General features: G+C 42.5%; 1 long non-coding RNA gene across 1 annotated transcript in view, besides 1 other annotated feature; it reads right to left on the bottom strand.

Moving 5' to 3' along the window:
- The window catches only part of CFAP20DC-DT (CFAP20DC divergent transcript), a 724,471-nt gene that overhangs the window by 86,982 nt on the left and 616,341 nt on the right, over positions 1–21,148 (bottom strand). The gene's annotated exons all lie outside the window — the stretch shown is intronic.
- Positions 5,894–6,622: an enhancer, noted in NCBI's record as "OCT4-NANOG hESC enhancer chr3:59703433-59704161 (GRCh37/hg19 assembly coordinates)". NCBI's record gives its function as "activates a minimal SCP1, AML or CMV promoter by ChIP-STARR-seq in naive H9 embryonic stem cells {active_cell/tissue: H9 hESC(naive)}" and the evidence as "EXISTENCE:reporter gene assay evidence [ECO:0000049][PMID:30033119]".

Genomic DNA, 21,148 nt, shown 5'->3' with positions numbered 1-21,148 from the left:
GACTACGACCAACAACCCTCAATCATTGTCACATCCATGTAGTTCACTTAGGCCCTGAAAATATCTTTATTACCTACTATGCATGGAACAGCGGTGAGGCAGCCCTGAAGGCATAACTGGAAAGTGGAGAGACTGCTAAGGTCTGCTTGTCTCCCCTCCGTAATTCCATGTTAAAACCTAATCACCAATGAGAGTGTTAAGAGGAGCAAGGGCCTGTGGGAAGTGATAAGACCATGATGGCAGAGTCTCTTAAAAAAGAGCCTCAGCAAGTGGCCTTGCCCCTTCCACCATGTGAGGACACAGTGAGAAGGCACTGTCTATGAACCAGGAAACAGGTGCTCACCAGACAAGTAATCTGCCGGCGCCATGATCTTGGGCTTCCCAGCCTCCAGAACTGTGAGAAATAATTTTCTGTTGTTTATAAGCCACCTAGTTTATGGTATTTTGTTATAGCAGCCTGAACAGGTTAAGAGAGTAACCGTGGAGGAATGGGAAGAGCAGGCCTAGTTTCAGTAAGAATATAGAGTCTATTCTAGGCACTGAGAAGATTTTTTTCTAAATCTATTCTTCCTCATCACATTGGATCCTCCTCATCATAATACTGGATACTACTGAAGAATATCTGTGTACCAGTCATTATGCTAAGAATTTTCAAAGCATTATTTAAATCTTTAAAAATTCTATGTTTCCTTCCTTTCTTCCTCCCTTTAAAAATTTTTTATTTAACAAATATTTATGCAACACCTATTGTATGCCAAATACTATATGTACTAGGTGCTGGTACTCAGTGCTGAGCAAAATCATCTGTAAGTAACTGTTACTCTCCTTCTATAGACAAGGAAACTAAAGCTTAAAGAGTTGGTAACTTGCTTCAGGTCAGACACAAATAAGAATGCCTGTCTATATATGAACTCCTTGCCCTTTTCCCTATGCCAAGCTGTTTTTCAGAAGGCAGGAAGAGTGAGAACAGTAGATGTCCTGTGGGCTAACTCTTGTTTTTCCCTACAGACCAGGCCCAATAAACATACCTACTTTCTCAGATGAGAATTTGCAGGTGAAGCAGTTTAGGCCACTAAGTCTCAATCTGTGTCAGTTCAATGAGCATTTACTGGATAACTTCTGTGTGCCCATCTCAGGGAAGGCCTTGGAGAGCTAATGGGACTTTCCTGGATTCTTTAGTTCACTCTGCAAATGTCACACTATCCTCTCATTTTCTGACAGCACAGCAGCATTTTGCTCACTCTCTGAGCATTTTGTCTCATCACCCTGGCTTGGGGTGAACACCTCCCTTTGATATGCCTGGTTCCTAAGGAAGGATTTCAAATAGTGCTCCCAGATTCTAAAAGAGTCCCGTGCTGCTGGTCCAGGGTCACACTTCAGTAAATGAACTTCCTATCCAGGTTGCTCAGGTCTCCCACTTTTCTAATTTTCTTTCTTGCCCCTCACCCTTTTTCTTTTTTTCTCCTTTATTCTTTTTCTTCTTGCTGCCAGAGAGAATAAAATAAGTCCATAACTTTGTGAGACAGTCTAAAGCAGTGGTTCTCATGCCTACGCCTCCATCAGTATCACCAAGATACTGATATTTAAATACTTGTTAAAACTGATTGCAAGGCCCTACTTCCAGAGTTTCAGATTCAGTAGGTCTGCAGTGGGTCCAGGGACTGACAAGTTCCCAGGTAACATGGATACTGGTGGGTCAGGGCCCACACTTTGAAAACCACTGGCCTAAAGGAATATTTTTTTTTAAGTAAATAAAATGTGTTCTTAATGCAGAATCTAGCTGTTTTTCAGGCCCTGTATTTAACATATCTTAGTCTAAAAGTAATGAACTGCAAGTTAAATCCAATCAGGCCACTCAAGCATTTCCAGTAGGTTTTTAGAGTTATTTAACACTGCAGAAGCCTTCTTGTCTGGGCTAATTAAGTGATTAGTTTAGATCAATAGTAGATGAACAATAAGAAAGTGGGGCAGCTACAGCTCACTACCAACTTAATAAAATGGTGCTCACTTCAGCCGAGAGAAGTAGCATGGGTTTAAAATTGGTCTTAGCTGCTAAAGACTTTAATGTATCTATCTTCAGGGAAAAGGAGCTCATCCATGCTCCAGCTGGATCTATGGTTACGGTTGCTGGGCTTGATTGGTCAATGAACTTCCTTAAAAGCCAAAAGTGCCATTTTGAACAACTGACATTCATGTATGTCTCCCACAACTGGATATCAAGCATCGCCAGAAACTCCATGCATGGGTGTGTATAGGTGCCTCAGCACTCATAAACCCCATTGAGGTGGTGCTTCATTCACAATTCAGTAAGGTTCAAAGGCTAAAGACCCATAGCTTTGGAAGTTTGCATCACCTTACAAGTTTCACATTTTTAGGGAAAGTGAATGGTAGGGAGCTGGCATTTATTGTGCATCAGCCTCATGCACCAATGACATTTTGAAGCAGGTAGTACCAGTCTGATTTTACAAACAAAGGAACATGAGACTCAGAGAGAATGTCACCCGTGGTGGTGGTGGTAGTGGTGGTGGTGGTGGTGGATGATGACAATGACAATAATAGCACCTAATATTTATTGAGCACTTACCATGAGATTATGTTCTAGACATTTTTTCTAGGTAGTCTACATTATTAACTTATTCAATCTTCACAACAACCCTCTAAGTAAATTCTATTATTATCCCATTTTACAGATAGGAGAATTACAGCATGAAATATGTGTAACTTTCCCTTGGTTACCCAGTTAGTAAGTGTCAGAGCTTTCATTTGAATCCAGATGATATAAATCCAGAGTCCACAATGGTACCTTTCTGGCTGAGATGAAAACCCAAGTCAACCAAACTCTAAAGCCCCATCTCCCTGCTGCCCTGAACTTTCTCCTATGGAAAGAACCTAGTGGGCCTCTTTCTCTCATAAAGCTACTTAAAGACTGAAGACTAAAGCTAAAATGTTCCCTAGCACGCTCTTTATCCCTGTGGAGATCTTGTCTTTGTGCATTCATAGAGAATCTCACAAACTAATGCATCCAGACATCTGGCTTCAAGGGAAGGTAGATCTACTTTGGAAGTAAGCCCAAAAGGGAAAAGGTCTGTCACTGTACCAAGGGTGGTTTTCCCAAACTTCAGTCCTCCTCAGTCTTCCCAACCTTCAACACTTTTGTCATATCTACATAATACCTATGTTGTTTACTTATTATGTTTTCATTTAATTTTTATGTTTCTTACATTGTTCAATGAAAAGGAAACTCATAATTACTGCAGCAAATAGAAAACCAGTATCCCTTGCTATAAATATAGAAGCTATATTTCATGAATATCATGAAAAAAAGTTATTAAATTCTAGCTGGGTACCATTGCCTGCTGAAAGCCCTGTTCAGAGGCTTGCCTTCTCACTTTATTACAAAGGGACATTAGTAAGTGTTAGAGAGGCGTTAAAATACCCTAGCACCAGACAGAGTCCTGCTCTTGAGGCTGGAGAGAGAAGTGGAGAGGGAATAACTTCTCACCTTGTGATCTGATGGTTTTTTGGATGCTTTGTCCATGGGCCTCCCAAAATCCTCCTGTGCTCCAGTAGTGATATGCCTCCCACCAGGGACAACACAGACCCAGCTGTGCATGGCCTGCCACTGCCCTAGCTATGCCCCAGGGCCATCATGAGCTTCGTCTGCTGCTTTCTGTGCATCAGACACATCTTGAAAAAGGGAAAACTATCTCATGTTCAGGTGCCTCAGGGATACAGGCAAAAATCAAGGAGAGAAAAGTGATTATGCTGTCAAAGAAGCAAAAGGAGCTTCCAACAGTAATAGTGATCATTGAGGAGTTTTTCTTTTGAACAGAAATGCCTTTGATAGTGCCTTCCTCTATCCTCCTGTTATTCTGTTGCAAGAATGAATAAGCAGGAAGAAACAAATGGGTACTTTTGTGTTTTAGGATCATCTGCTATAGAAAAAAAAAGGGGGAAAAAAAAAAAAGGGACGGCCCAATTTCAAGGGTGGTGAGAGATCACTATGTCTCCATCTCCATATCCATCTAACAAAAGAAAAGGGAAGAGAAGAGAAGGGGAAAGAAAGAAAGGAGACAAAGAGAAGGAAGAGAAATAAATCCGGCAAAGAGGGTTTCATAATGCACTCCTTACCCTCAGCTCCAAGGATCCTAGAATATTCAGAGCCTTCAGTAACCTTAGAAAGGCATTAAAATCCCCTTCTTCCATTCTTCTAATCCAAGCTTCTCCTTTCTAGCTGAGTAGAGCCCTTCTTTGGTGATGTAATTAGTGTACAGAGTAAGAAGTTTTACAACATATTCACAATACTTTGCACAGCCATTTTAAGTGGGAAAAAAGACAAACCCAACAGAATTGTCTTTTTGTAAAGTATAGGAAATACAGAGATTCCTCCGTTGACAAGGATCTATGAACATAATGAGGTGGTGGTGGTGGGGCATTCTCCATGGAGCAAACATTATGCCAGATACTTTACCTCCAATGAACACAGTGATATGAATCCTATTAGTCTTCCCATTTTATAGACTAGTAAATTGAGGCTAGAGAGGTTCAGTAACTCACCCAAAATCATAGAACTAGTGACAGAGCCAGGCTCACACCCAAATCTGTTTTGCACCAAAGGTCATGGTCTTAACTACCAAGCTCTGTTGAGACCCTAATGGAAATGAACTAAGTATTCATTATCCCTTCTGTGTAATTATATATAATTAAAGCCATTGGAGAAACTAATAGAAGCCAAACCTTTCCCCAAGGCTCTATTGGCTTGCAAAAGATGTGAAAGCCTGCTAGCGTTCTTATATTAAAATCTTATTTCTCCTCTCTGCGCACATCACAGATTAAGTACTAATAAGAACTAACCAAATCATAGTAGCTGATATTTATTGAGCACTTATTAGGTGCCAGACATTATGCTAAATGCCTCCGACTCACTCCCATGCATTCTCTCTTAGTTTCATCCACCACCTTGTGAGACAGGTGCTGCCTAGGAGAAAACTAAGACTCAGAGATGTTAAATAACTTGTTCAAGGTCACTCAGCTTGTAAGGGGCAGAGCAAGAATGATGACCCAGCCATCTCTCTGTAGACTACACATCCCATGTTAGGATCTGGTGTAGCAGGAAGATTGATCGAGAAGCACAAGAATTAGGGACATCGCACTTTCCCTTTCCAAGACTGGAATGATGGATGAAAGGAGCTCATGGAAATGTCCTGGGGCCTTAGAATCTACCAGGCTCTTTTCTCTAAGTAAATCATACAGAGCAAAAGCCAGCTAGAGATGGGATTTTCAGAAGATTTCCATACTTTCTGCACTGTTGCATGAAAAAGAAGTTATTGCCTCCTTCTAAGGTCGCAGGGAGGCTCTCTGCCTACAGCAGAATTCACCTGCAAGTCAGGATTGCCTATGTATGTTACTCAAGGGATTGGAGAGCAGGAGGATCCAACAGCCTTCCAGAGTCAGTGTTCTGATTTTTTTTTTTAAAGTATCCACCCTACATATTATATATTTCCTGGTCTAGCTTCAGTGTATATCCTTAAATTACATTTTATTAATTGTGCAGAATGAGAGGCTGCTACACCTAAGACTGTTCTAAACAGAAGTGTGCACAAGATTTGGAGGGAACTTGCTAAAGAAATGCATAGCTCAAGGCCTTTTCCTGGGAATCACATTCTGCAGGTCTGAGGTGAAGCCCAGGAAACTGTCTCATGGCAACCAATCCCAGAAGACTCTTCTGTAGGTGTTCAGAGGACACAGGTCAAAACACATTGCCTCGGACCCCTCCTTGGAGGCTGTATTTTCAAACTCAAACATTTCCTTAGCCTGCAAATTTTTCTGACCACCCTTACCTAACTCTACACCTTAGTTATAAGATTTTATTGCCCTTGGGAACTTCTACTTTTTTTCCATCTATTCCAGGAGTGAAGGAGATATATAGAGAGATACAGAGAAGACAGAGAGAGACACTAAGTCCTGACAACATGGTTTGAGCCCCTGGATCCAGCTACACCTGAGGACAATAGACCTCTGGATTTTTCAGTTATGTGAGCTAATACATAAATGCTTTTTTGAGTTTAATCTACTAAGCAAATGATAGGAGAGAAAGGAATGAATCATTCTCTGCTTGTCTCAGTAAAGGAAAAAAGATAAATGTGCATAACACTATTGTTATGCAAAACAATCCACACCCAACCCTACTTACTCTGCCTGCCTGAGGCTGAGCTAGGACCCCAGCCTGCCTGGTCCTTTGCATTCTCATCAGCACCATTAGCATTATTTCAACCTAATTCTGTCATTTAATTGCCTAGTGTTCTGTGCCCTGGGGAGCCATGAGCAGAGAGCTGATGACTGTGGTTCCTCTAGGATGATCATATCAGAAGTATAGATATTAACAGCAATTGTGTCATGTCACCTTCTTTGTGTTTCCACTGTCAGCAGCTGATTGACAGAAAAAGCACTGCACAAGTGAATTCTAAAGTGTCTCTCTGGTTTGCGTTTTTATGCCAGAGGCTATGGGGAAAAAGGAAGTGAGCCAATGGAACCAGAGGCCTTGTTGTAGCCCTGTAGCTTTTTACTGCAGATTATACCTGGGAATCCAGCAGGGGTCTCTTTACAAGTGTAAAACAGTGAGGGACTCTTTGTATCTCTTACTCTAAAAAGCATTTAAATAATGTCTCGGTTTCCTCCTTTGTGCTTTAATATTGGAGCTCATGTACCCTGGGATCTTAGGGGCTTGAATTTCCATTGTAAGCTCCTGACTTTGGTTCCCCGATAGCAAGGTATTCTTATGGGGCAGAAACAAGGAATGAACACTGAAGACTAAAGTTGAAGTCTGCATGGACCCAGAACCTTCCTCTGCCTGGTCTGGGGCTGCTCAGCCACTGAAGACAGGCCTAGGTTTATGCTCTCTTCCCAGAGGCAGGAGCACCCTTGTTAAACCACCTCTCAGTAGCCAGAGTCCACAATTCAACAGCTATCCCAATGCTAAGCCCTGTGTTCCACACTTCACACATGTTTTGCATTTGATTTTCACAACTACCATCTTAGGTTGGTCTTCTGCCCATTTCACAGATGGAAAAAAACAAGCTCCCAGAGGTTAAGAGATTTCTCCAACAGAGTACAGCAAGCAAGTGGCAGAGACTGAATGTGAGCCTGGCTCCGTCAGACTCCAAAACCTGAACTCTTCACCAAAGAGCCTGGGGAAGTAGAAAGGACAACCGTTCAGGAACAGAAGTTGGCAAACTAGGGCCTGACAGCCATATCTGGCTACACACACTTTTTGTAAATGTATTTTTAGTGGAACATTGTTGTGGGAAACCAAGGACCCCGAATGGAGTGACTGGCTGAAGCCATGGCAGAACATAAATTGTGAAGATTTCATAGACATTTGTTAGTTCTCCAAATTAATACTTTTATAATTTCTTATGCCTGTCTTTACTGCAATCTCTGAACATAAATTGTGAAGATTTCATAGACATTTATCACTTCCCCAATCAATACTCTTATAATTTCCTATGCCTGTCTTTACTTTAATCTCTTAATCCCCTCATCTTCGTAAGCTGAGGATATATGTTGCCTCAGGACCCTGTAATGATTGCGTTAACTGCACAAATTGTTCGTAAAGCATGTGTGTTTGAACAATATGAAATCTGGGCACCTTGAAAAAAGAACAGGATAACAGCGATGTTCAGGGAACAAGGGAGATAACCATTAGGTCTGACTGCCTGGGAGCCAGGCAGGACAGAGCCATATTTCTCTTATTGCCAAAAACGGGTAAGAGAAATATCGCTGAATTCTTTCCCCAGTAAGGAATATTAATAATTAGCAGCCCTGGGAAAAGAATGCATTCCCAGGGGGGTAGTGCGGGGGGGCTCTAAAATGGCCACTCTGGGAGTGTCTACCTTATGCAGTTGTAAATAGGGATGAAACCAGGCTTATTAGGATTAGGAAATTCCTGCCTAGCAAATTTTAGTCAGACTGGTTGTCTGCTCTCAAACCCTGTTTCCTGATGTTTATCAATGAGAATGCGTGCACAGCGGACCGGGAACCTCATTAGTAATTCTAGTTTTGCCCTGGCCTTGTGACCTTGCCCTGCCCATTTGCCTTGTGATATTTTGTTGCCCTTGAAGCATGTGATCTCTGTGACCCACACCCTACTCGTATACTCCCTCCCCTTTGAAAATTGCTAATAAAAACTTGCTGGTTTTACAGCTCAGGGGGTATCACGGAACCTGCCGACATGTGATGTCTCCCCCGGACACCCAGCTTTAAAATTTATCTCTTTTATACTCTTTCCCTTTATTTCTCAGACTGGCCGACACTTAGGGAAAATAGAAAAGAATCTACGTTGAAATCTTGGGGGCTGGTTACCCCGAAAGAACATGTTATTTGTATTTTGTCTGCAGTTGCCTTCCCTATATAACAACAGAAGTAAGTTATTTCAACAAAGACCATAATGCCCAGCAGAGCCAAAAATATGTATTCTATGCCCTTCAGAGAAAAAGTTTGCCAGCTCTTCATTCAGAACATTAAACTTTGGAATCAGTGTGACTTAACAGTCACTTCCCCTTACCAGCTCTGTGCCTTCAATTTTTCTTATCTGCAATTCATGAGTCCTAGGAACACTGGCCTCAGTAAGTCTCTTGCGAGGATTGAATGAGATATTGCATTCAAATGCCTAGCATAGTGTCTGGCACTTAGTAAGTGATATGGTTTTGCTATGTCCCCACCCAAATCTCATCTTGAATTGTAGCTCCTATAATCCCCATGTGTCATGGGAGGACCCAGTGGGAGGAAATTGAATCATGGGGGTGGGTTTTCCTGTGCTGTTCTCATGATAGTGAATAAGTCTCATGAGATCTGATGGCTGTATAAAGCGCAGTTCCCCTGCACACGCTCTCTTGCCTACCACCATGCCTTTGATCTTCCTTCACTTTACACCATGATTGTGGGGCCTGCCCAGGCATGTGGACCTGTAAGTCCATTAAACCTCTTTTTCTTTATAAATTACCCAGTCTCGGGTATTTCTTCATAGCAGTATGAAAATGGACGAATACAGTAAGTACTCAAGGAAAAGTAGCCTCTTATTCGACCCATCAAGACTATAAAACATCCCAAAGCAGCTGGAGCTTGTGTTAATTCCCAGTAGAGGACAGATAGGTACAACTGAAGCCTTGGATGGGGGAAGCAGGGAGGCAAAAGGACTCAGGCAGGCTATCAAACCAGCCTTTCTGCAAGGCTTGGGTCTCTGGTGACAGTCCCCACGTGGGCAGCTCAATTCCTTCCCTGTCAGACCCTCTTGAATTCCCAGTCTCTGAAGCTGGGCTCTAAGGAAGAATGCCGAAGAATCAGGGTCAACCTAAGTTGTTTTTATCGAGGACATTGGTTTTCTCCCCCTTCTTTTAGCCAAACGTGAAAGGTAGCTATGAAAGAGAAATTAAATGGCTCATCCAGGAGTTTATTATTTCATTGATGTGTCAGAGATTTACATACGTAGCTTCTCTTAACACCAATGGGAGCAGAGCAAATACATGATTTTCTTTATTGCGAAGGTCAAACATACGTTTGTTTATCCTCTGTATTTTAAAGTTATCAGCAATGATTTAACTTAGGTACTGAGCTGAGTGAAACACACTGAAGGCATTTTTATGTCAGCATCCTTTTCTTCTTCTTAAAATATGAAGACTTTTAAAAAAGAAACAACAGGGCTCCAGTTGGCCTCATTGGAGCCCACACAGGGGCTTTTTCTGATTATGCTAATAAGTAATCACAACAATACTTCTTTTTTAACACATGCCCAGGGTTTTATCCCACTGAAAATTATCTCACATTAAAATGGTGCAAGCACAATGCAGCACTGAAGACATTCTAGAGTTACAGGGAAGGAACTCACTGTGTGAATGTTTTCTCTTCCCCAACACCATCACCCCTCAGTTTTCCACACCATGTTGTTCTAGCCAAGAGGAGAAATTGTGAGCTCAGTGATATATTGAATGCTTAACCCAACTTCATTAACTAAAGCTAAATGCTAACACACACTGTATCAGCTTCCAGCACAAATTAGCATCCGTAATAAAGCATATAATTAACCATATACCCAAATGCTCTCTATGATGAGTAAGCCTCTAAAAGCCCCCAGGCTGCTCTTTGATTTTCCTGAGTTGGGTCTGTGGTAGCAGCCTGGTTCCCACAAGCTTCTTGTCCATCAGCCAAATGAGCATCTGAACTGACAAGTTTCTGGACAAACTCATCCAAAGTCAATCACAGAAGGTCAAGGAGAGTTAGCTGCTTTTCTGCCCTGTGAAGGGTCCACGGTAAGTTCAGCTCAAAGTCAGGGTGGAGGCAGAAATAAAATGCAAGGTTTTCCTGGTCACCTGCCCAGGTCCTGCTCAGTGAATACTAAGAAGCCTTGGTAAAACCAATATGGACACTGATATCTCCAGAAATGTCCATCCTCATTATGACCCCTCCATCTGGGTGGTTGGCTGCTGCTCTGGTTTGACTGTTTTTGCCCAAACTCACATTGAAATTTAATTGCCACTTAAATGGTATTAAGAGGTAGTAACTTTAACAGGTGATTAGGCCGCAAGGGCTCTGTCCTTTTGAATGAAGTTAATGCTGTTATCATGGGAGTGGGATCTTCATAAAAAGGTAAGTTTGGCCTACTTCCCTCTCTGTCTCCTGTGCTTGTTTCCACCTTCTACCCTTCCTCCAAGGGATGACCCTCACCAGATGTCAGTACCATGCTCTTGGACTTCCCAGCCTTCAGAACCATGAGCCAAATAAATTTCTGTTCTTTATAAATTATCCAATTCTGTGATAGCAGCAGAAAGTGGACTAAGACACCCACTTACAATGGACTTGGAGGTCTGAAATCCCCTCCAACCTTCACTGAGAGAGGTTAGGGATTTGTCCACAGGTGTATAAAGGGCAAAAGTTGAAATTCAACCTAAACTCCACATTTAGTTCACTTCTGAGAAAACTTTTGAGTACCTATTCCATCCACTGTGCTAACATATAGGGATTCCTCCCATACCAAATCTACCATTTACCTTTAGTATATCTCCAGATTCAGGAACTGTCCCTTTCTCTCTCCGTCCATCTCTCTGTTCTTGCTTCTGTAACACCACCCTGGGCCAAACCACCATCATTTCTTGCTGGACTTTGGTAGCAGCTCTTGGTTCCCTCTCTCATTTTTTATGCTTGTTTTCTTAAATTTGTCCTCTACACATTAGCCAGATTCTTACTGAGAGGTGTCAGCTAGAGTTCATCATTTTCTTACTTCAAACCTTTTAATGACTTTCTACTATACATTGAATAAAACCCACATGCCTGTCTATGGCATATAAGCATTTCCAGGACTTAGTGCCTGCTACTTCTTTAAGCCTCATTTTCTTCTTTCCTTGCCACATTTCCATTTTATTTGATGGCTTTTCCTTTTTAAGTCTCAAATACAATAAGCTGTATCCTGCCCCAGTTCCTTTACATTGGCTATTTTCCTCTGCCTGGAATGTTTCTATTCTTGTCTTAGGTGATTTTCTCTCAAGGCTTGGGTCTCAGCTGAAATTCTACCTCTTCCAAAAGGTTTCCTCTGTTCACTGAAGTAAGCCTCCTCCACAGCACTCCTGATGACTCTGATATTTATTCTATATCCCTAGACCTAGGAAAGGGGCATATAGTAAATTCTGTGTAAGAATAGGTACTAAATAAATAAGTGAAAAACTCACAATCTAACAGCAGTATAGCATTCTTTTCCATTCTAACAGCAGTATACCATTCTTATCCATTATCCCACAGCTGCCTTCATATATTAAATAGGAGGCAGACTTTGAGCACAAGACTTTTCCTAAAGGACAGAACAACTGCAAGACTAAATTTTTAAATTGTCCTTAGAATAACAAGTATTCCCATGCCTTTTCCCCAGGACTGAAAAGTCAACTGATACTTTCAAACTAAGTAGTATATCAATAAAGCAGACAAGCTCCTGGGCAATGGGAAGCATCCTATCTACCATTCTTCACTTGCTAAGAAAACCTCTAGGATTTCTAATGCAATCAGTATGCCAAAAAAGGAGGCTGATGGACAGAGAATGTAAGGGCATAAAAAGACATGATATTTATGGTGAAGGTGGTTCTAAAATCTATTTGTAGGCTTACCCGAAGGACAGGCTATGTGTGAATATCCAGATCTATTTCAAGGGGCATCCCAGAGTTCCCATTCATGGACTCTTTGCTGAGCTCTTTGCTGAATGAAATTCTTTCTAGGCTAAGAAAAGGCTGAAGCCTGAAGAAAAGGTTCCTCCTAATTTTTTTGCTCTGGCTGCATTGCTTTTTCATCAGCTGACTGCATGAGTGTGGAAAGCTCATCATTCCAGTCTTTGAGCCCAGGTAGCTGAAAACCCTTTATACTAAAATACAAAGCCAAATCCAGAGCTTTTTCTTCTGGACTTCTATTGGAGCCATACTCATCAACAGAGTACATCTTGTCCAACTGAAAGGCTAACCCACCTTCCCATTCCCCACCCCTTTGCACCACTTGAGTCAGTTTTGTGTGAACCGCTTTGAAAAAAATTCCCCAAGTTCTAGGTAGGATGCCTTGTTTAGTTTTTGCTACGGTGAAACCTCTCTAGACTTTAACAAGCTTCCAAGAGGCAGTGGTTTTATTTAAGACTCCTCAGAGGGTCCTGACTTACTCACAGTTCATGGCAGAAATGAAGGAAGAAGAAAGAAGAAAGAAGAAGAAGAATGAGAAGGAGGAAAAGGAGGAGAAGAGGAAGGAGGAGAGGGAGGAGAGGGAGGAGAGGGAGGAGAAGGAGGAGAAGGAGGAGGGGGAGGAGAAGAGGAGGAGGGGGCAGAGAAGAATAATTTGGACAAAAATATTTTATTGCTCCAATAGTGGCAGGTGTTTGAAACCCGACCTAATAGTTTAAGTTCTAAGGTTTCCAGAAGCGTTTCTATACATCATAGTTACTGAATTAAATATATGTGTGCAATGTGCTGTGGTCTTTTTATAACGTTATTTTAAGTCTGCTTTCCTTCATGTTGCAAATAAATACATAAAACCAGTTTGTGAGCATCAGGAAGGATCCATGGACAATGAGTTCTTGATTTTGCTATGTAGGGATGTTCTCTAGAACAAAGACAAAAACTAACCTCTGCTTTTTTGGAGATTTGCATATAGCCTTTTGGATAGCCCTGAATGCAAGAAAGTAAAATTACTTTTTTCAAAAAATTACTTGACTACCATGCAATAAGAAGTACTTCAAAGCCCCCATGCCTCCTCTTGTAGTGAACTGATTTTTCATGGGTAGTTGGTCTCCTGGGTATCACGAGTAGGTCTGGGGAAATGCTGCATATATTCATTTAAAATTGTCTCTGTGCTGATGGCTAAGAAAGTTCCCTGGGACTGATGCACTAGAGTGGTCTGCATAATTGAACACTGTGTCTGCAAATAAGACTAATAACCATAGTTGTTCAAATGATTACCATATCATAGATCTTAATAGTCTACCAGAAATGCTTCTGATGGTACTGCTTTTTTTAATTTTTTTCATGATCAGCTAACCTTACACAGGGCAGTTATCCATACAATTGGATTAGCCACTCACTTGTCTCTTGGCCATTTGCCTACTCGCCTCTTTTCTGAATCTAATTTCTCCACCTATAAAATGTGGAAATTGGACTAGATGACCTCTGAGGTTCTTGAAAGATCTGACCTTCTGGGTTTGGGATAATGAAAACATCCTCTTTCAGATACTCAATATGTATTGAAGGTCTGTGACCTGCCAAGGTTACCCAGCTTGTAAGAGGTAGAGCTGGTATTCTGAGTCTCCAAAGCCCTTAGTTTTAACCAGTATGCTTCTGTGTCCAAAGGAAAAATAGAGAGCAGAGCCACTCACTGGGAGAACCACCCAAAAGGTTTAGAGAAATATGTGCACATCCTGCTGTTAATTGGCCAAGTAGCATCCTGTTGTCAGTAGAGCTGAATGTGGAGCTCAGGAAACCAGTGAGCCACAGGTTTGGCTTTTGTGTTTGTTGATGAAATTCTCTGTGAAGGTTAGTTGTACAACCTTCTGACTACCATTTGATAAATAAAGATGAGTCTGCTAGATCCCCAAGAAATAGGGGAGACAGAGCCAACAACTTGGTATAACTCCCTCACCAACACCACCTTGCACATATGCACACACACATATGCACACACACACAGTGACAGCAGCAGCTCGGTATAGTACATCCAGGGGAGAGAATTATGTTTTATTTCAGTGATCTTAGTTAACACATCTTCGTGAAATGTGATGCCCAATGGGCACAAGTGAAATATTTCAATGCTCAACACTGCACTGAAGGAAGTCTCCTGTCATCAAAGCTATTTCAGCAACCTCTCAGTCCACACCACTTCCTCATGGCCACGGGACCTGGAGGGGGCTGGGTGGAATGCTCTGCAGGCAGAACAAGCCACAGCCTGGACTCCAGTTTCCTCCAGACCATGCCATCTGAGGCTGTGCTCCAGCTGCCGTTTCTGCTTGGCAGGGGCAAAGCTGAGTGATGAAGACCTCGAGTGTTAGTGTCTGGACCCAAATCATGGCTTCACTATTTTCTTTGCTTGGGGGTGGTACTTGATCTGTCTCAGTTTCCTGCTTTATAAAAGGAGGATAAATAATGGTAATAGCTTCAGTCAAAGGGCACTTATGAAGATGAATTGAGATTAACCATATCATAAGGGTTTAATTCTGTCCTTGGCAAATAATATGCACTATATTAGTTTCCTATGGCTGCTGTAACAAATTGCCACAAACTTGGTGGCTTAACACTGTACAAATTTACTATCTTTCAGCTTTGGAGGTCAGACATTTGAAATCAGTTTCACTGGGCTAAAGTCAAGGTATTGGCAGACCATCATTCCTTATGGAGGTTCTGGGAGAGAATCAGTTTCCTTGTCTTTTCCAACTTTCAGAGGCCACCTTTGTCACTTGGCTCATGGCCCGTCTTCTATCTTCAAAGTGCATCACTCCAACCTCTGCTTCTGTCATCCCATCTCTGTCTTCCACCTTTGACTCTCCTGCCTCCCTCTTATAATGCCCATGGTGTTTGCATCAGGCCCACCTGGATCATACAGGCTAATCTCCCCACTTCAAGATTCTCAGTCATAACCTCTAATGTTTCTTATGCCACGTAAGGTAACATATTCACAGGTTCCAGGGTTGAGGACGCGGACATCTCTTAGGGGCCACTATTCAGCCTACCCCATGCATGGAAACATAAGTTTTACGATTACGCTTATTCCTTTGTGCCCTTTTTCTTTCATTTAGATAAAATGCACATGTGGTAAACAGATAAATCTTAAAGGTAGAATTTATGAACGTTTACATTTTGAACCCCTCTAACCACCCCTCAAGTCAAGATGAGAACATTTACAGCTCCTTACACCCCTCCCCATCAATACCCTCCTCTACCCGGAGGTCATCCCTAGCCTTATGCTTATTTTCATTCATTACTTTTGCCTGTTCTTGGAGTCATAGGAACAGAATCATACTGTATTTGTTTTGTATCGGGCTTCTTTCACTCGATATAATGTCTGTGACTCAATCAGGTTGTGAAGTGCAGTAGTTTGTTCTTTTTGGCACCGTCTGATATTATGTTTAGCGTTTCCCTGTCTTGTCTATACATTCAGCACCTGACCATAAATATACTACTGTTTGATAGAGTTTGGCTGTGTCCCCATCCTAATCTCATCTTGAACTGTAGTTCCCATAATCCCCATGTGTTATAGGCACCTGGTGGGAGGTAACTGTATCATGGGAGCAGTTTTTTCCCCTGCTGTTCTCATTCTGGTGAATAAGTTTCATGAGATCTGATGGTTTTATAAAGGGCAGTTCCCTCGCACACGCTGTCTTACCTGCTGCCACGTAACATGTGCTTTTGCTCTTCCTTCACCTTTGCCATGATTGTGAGCCTCCCCAGCCATGTGGAACTGTGAGTCCATTAAACCTCTTTTTCTTTAGAAATTACCCAGTCTTAGGTAAGGTCTTTGTAGCAGTATGAAAATGGACTAATACACTATTTTTTCAAGAATCATTTCAAACATCATCTTTGTAAAGCATCATCTGGTAGCAATATGTCCTCTCAGTCTGAAATATAATCTATGTCTGCCTCCTGTACCACTTGTATGTGACCCTTGGGACCCACTCATGACATGTCCTGTCTTACAAGTCAGGCCCTCATCTCTTGTACTACATCACCTGCTCCTGTGAACGGGAACATTATGCTTTATCTATCTTTGTATTAACATCAGCCCTAGCACCGTGCCTCATGCACAGCCGCTGAACTCAACAACATCTATTCCATTGCCTCCATGATAACCATTTTCCTCTGAAAAAAAGATGCATTGCCATTGCTTGCCAATTGAAACCCATGTGTGCAAAGCATATCTGTTTCCTGCAGGTATCATGAGACTGGCTAACAGAAGGTAGCCTGGAGAATGTCCCCCAGGATCCCTTTTCAACACCAATCAGAAACAAATGCGGGGAGGCAAGGCTGGTTCAGGGTAGGCAAGAGTTTGAACCCTTGGCTTCTATGGGTTTTCTCCCCAAACTGGAGTAAAAAGATGTCAAGGGTTTGACTCTGTTTTGAGGTCTGACTGCTGATAGCTTCCAAGCTCTATTCTACTCTCAAGCCCCTTTCCGACCTGACCTCAATCTGGGCAAGTCAATGAGGAAGCCCAGATATGCTGTCCCTTTGTGCTTGCAGTGAGGTTCAAATCACTCAGACCCCAGCTTGTGCATGGAAACCTGAACCCCAGCCCCAGCCCCTGAGCTCTGTAAAACCCGAAGCCCTGATGTTGCCTGCCCATGGCCCTCACTTCACGCTGAACAGAGAGCCTGAACCCTTCTCCTTAGGGAGCCCTTTGCCTGTTTCCTGTGTGATTAATAAACATGATTTCACATCCATCAGTGCCTGTGTGTCATTTATCTTGCCATCCATAAATTTCTGGGCAGGTCTGTCTAGCATCCAGTAGGGGCTGTTTGGTGCCCAAATAAGACAGATTTAAATAAGAAGCTCCAGGCCAGGCCCAGTGGTTCACGCCTGTGATCCCAGCACTTTGGGAGGCTGAGACGGGTGGATCACGAGGTCAGGAATTCGAGACCAGCCTGGCCAACATGGTAAAATCTCGTCTCTACCAAAACTACAAAACAATTAGTGGGCGTGGTGGCAGGCATCTGAAATCCCAGCTACTTGGGAGGTTGAGGCAGGAGAATTGTTTGAACACAGGGGGCAGAGGTTGCAGTGAGCCAAGATCGCGCCACTGCACTCCTGCCTGGGTGACAGAGCAAGACTCCATCTTGGGGAAAAAAAAAAAAAAAAAAAAAAAAGAAGCTCCATTCTCCAGAGTAACATTTTAAAAAAGCCAAGCACCTCACCTGAGTATAGATGTTGGTTATATTTCCATTCCATGTATCCATTGCCCCCTCTTCTAGAAATGCTACCTTGATTTGCCTCAGGAACTACTTCTCCTCATTCTTCATCCACGTGTGTGAGGTGGAGCTGATGCCTCCTCCAGTGCCTACAGCTCTGGGGTGGCCTTGACCTCAGCCTGGTCAATCATTGCCTTGTGCCTCTCTGGCTAGAGTGATTGGTTGGGGGATAGACCCATGACCTAAGCTGATCCAGGAAAGACATCCTGAGACTTTTGCTTGGATTTGTGGGAAGGAAGAGTTCTCTTTGCCTGTGGCATGCTGGCTGTAAGCCTAATCTAAGCCCTGATTTGCCAGGCCCACTGTATTGACAGGGCCTTCCTTGGAATGAGGCCAATGTGGAGAAAAGCAAAGAATAGGGAAAGGGGGATAGAGACCCCGGATCCTTAGGATTTCATGGAATCCTCGATCTGACCAAGTTCGGAGCTAGATCCACTCCAAGACTTTGTAGTTGCATGAACTAATACCTTCCCATTTCAGTTGAAGCAACTTTTAATCGGGTTTCTATCATTTACGCCAAAAAGATACATTTGAAGGACACAATTACAGGGTTTCTATACTCCAAGCTTTTTGTATCTCTGAACATATTGAGGCCAAACATGCCGTGGAAACCACACAGTCTTTGTTCTCCAATAAACACTGAAACCTTCCTTTCTAAAGGGGAAAGCAGCAGATCTGTTAGAAATGGCATGGCTAATCTTGCCCTGAATTACCATTCTAAGAAGACCAGAAAACCCCTACATAAACAGTGCAAGGTCAAAAATTTGCTAGAAATATCAGTTAAATCAAAATGCTGAAGCTTCAACTCAATGGACCATCACTTATTCTGTGCACCAGCGTAAGCCTGTGTCAACAGGAGCTTGTGCTGTATTGGAGGAAGCAAAGACAAACTACAGAATGAGCACAGTTCCCCAGCTTCCACTCAGTGAGATTTACTTTTTTGTTTGTTAATTTGCATCCCAGCGTTGGAGCCAGGAAAATAAACTAAGACAGTATAAAAATCCTATTCCACATACCAGCTAAAATTCACTACACGTTGTGGTAGGCACAATCCTCCCCCACCCCAAACAAAGATATCCACATTCTAACCCCCAACCCATGCATATGTAATATTACTTGGCAGGAGAGAATTATGGTCACAGATGGAATTGAAGTTGCTAATCAGCCAATCCTAAAGTAGGAAAGTGGGGAGAGGAGCCTGGATGATCCAGTGGGCCCAGTGTAATCTCAAGTGTTCTTAAAAGTGGAAGAAGAGTCCGAAGAGGTGGCCAGGGTGATGTTCTGTGTGAAGGACAGGACCTTCTGTTGCTGGCTTTGAAAGTAAAGGAAGAGGGCCATAAATCAAGGAGCATAAGCAGCCTCTAGAGGCTTGGAAAGGCAAGGAAACCATTCCCTCCCAAAGGTTCTACATTGCTTTACTAACACTGCCATTAGAAATGCCCACCAATGGTGGCTTAACCAGCAGAAACTTATTCACTCACAGTAATGGGGGCCAGAAGTCCAACATCAAAACATCAGCAGGGTTGCTTTTTGGCTTGCAGACGGCCGCCTTCTCCCTGTGTCCTCACATGTTCTTCCTCTGTGTAGGAACATTCCTGGTGCCTCTGAATGTCCACACTTTTTCTTCTTATACAGGTGCCAGTCAGATTGCATTGGGGCCCACCTTAAAGACCTCCTTTTAATTTAATCACCCCTTTAAAGATATTATCTCCAAATACAGCCATATTTGGTGGTACTAGGGGTTAGGTCTTCAATACATGAACTGTGAGGAAGAGAAGTCAGCCCCTATCAGCTTCCAAATGGGAATATAGCCCTGCCGACACCTTCATTCTAGCTCAATGAGAACCTGTCAGACTTCTAACCTACAGAACTGTGAGGTGACAAACGTGTGTTGTTTTAAGCCACTACGTGTGTGGTAATTTACGTCAGCCATGGGAAACGAATACAAGCATTCTAAGCTAAGCTTTCTGCCATTATTAACTTAATTTTTACCCCACATCAGCCTTACGAGAAGGCATCATCATTACCTCCATTCCACATTGCTAAAAATAGTGAGACCTGAACTTAAACTCAGATGTGACTGATTCCAAAACCTGTGCTCCACGACCATCCCATCCCTCTGTAAAACATCCTAGATTTGGAAACTTTTAAACTATTCATGCAGGATGAATATACAGAGTACCTGAGTCACCAGCCACCAGATGCACGGGGTTGCCTGGTCCCAGCCTCTCATTTTGAAAATGAAGAAAAAGTACAGAGAGAAGTGGTGTCGGAGACCCAGAACAAGTTTTCTGGAGCCTAAGTAGAGTCTAGGTCTTCTGGCTCCTAGCCCAGCACAGCAGCTGCTCTTCCTCCTCACACCATGTCAACAGCCACCTCATATGTCTTACCCCATTCTTTCCATAGCATCTCGCTGAATTACTTTATGGAAAGGAAGCCAAGACCCAAAGTCCTGCAATTAGAAAGTGGCAAAGCTTAGTTTCAGCCCCATGGTCACTCTTAAGACTCTTCCACTTTATCACATCTTTTACAGAAATATCCCATTATGAGAACACAAATCGCATGTAAAAATCTATCTTACATTCCTTGGTAGCAGTTTGGGGCCAGGCTATATAGCATGTTACCTCTCTTCAAATCAGACCGAAGGCAACCTCAGAAACAAGAAGAGCCTTTAAAATTCTGGTTTGAATCCCACACTTTGGCCTGGAATCTGGACAAATAAGCATGTGAAATGGCTTCATTTCTATTAATTTATCTAGAAAAGTCAAAGCAGCTGAGAGACCTCTGAGAAATAGACTGTTACTGTCATAGGAAAGTCAGGCTAAGACACTGCAGGGTACATCACAAAGGTTCATGCCCCTTATGACTTCTCTGAAACAGTCTAGGAGCTGGCTTTTATTTTCCTACTAAAAACTTTTATTTCACCTCCATTTGTGGGACGCACTGGCCACATGGCTGATGGATTTGGGAACAGGTGGCTTCCTTACACATGATGGAATGTTGAAAGGCTGTAAATATGCCTAGCTAGTAACAATGCTTGATTCATATCACCATCCTATCCTGATCAAGATGGAGAACTGCTGGGCCTTGCTCACCTGAAATGGGAGGAAATAGACATGTTTGTAAGTTGCTGAGCCTAAGAGGCCCATGGAGCTTTCCCTTTGCTGAATTTCAGCAGTGCGTCTCCCTTTATGACCTGGGGAATCTCTTGAGGGAAATTTCAGGGGATGACAGTCGGCTAGCTGAGGATATTTGTGTGTTATATGTTGGTTGCTCAAATATTGAGAGTGAATATCCCAGAAAGGTCAACTGTCTTTATCCATACATAGCAAAGTTTCACATGAGAATTGTTTTTGCTGAAACCACTAAAGGATATTATTTGGGGCTTTAAACATGAATGTAAAGTGCAGTAAAAACTGTCAGATTGGATTTGCTTTAGGTAAGCATCCTTGGGCTTCCACTGCCTACTTAAAGTGACTAAACTAGCAAATCAGGGCCTCTGTGATGCTGATTAAAACCAAATTTTATTAATGTGAAATGAGACTACACTCTCTTCAAGTTGATGGAATTTCACATTTGCTTAAATTTTTAAGTGAGATTTCAGCTGCAATAGATTGGAGAACACAGAAAGCACCAACTGGGGTGATTATTTGTGATGAAATCATAGTCAAATATAACAAGGTG

The sequence above is a fragment of the Homo sapiens genome, chromosome 3 (genome assembly GCF_000001405.40).
Source record: "Homo sapiens chromosome 3, GRCh38.p14 Primary Assembly".
In the NCBI taxonomy this organism is placed as follows: Eukaryota; Metazoa; Chordata; class Mammalia; order Primates; family Hominidae; genus Homo; species Homo sapiens.
Note: the sequence above shows the minus strand (reverse complement) of the source record. Positions and strands in the feature narration are given on the sequence as shown.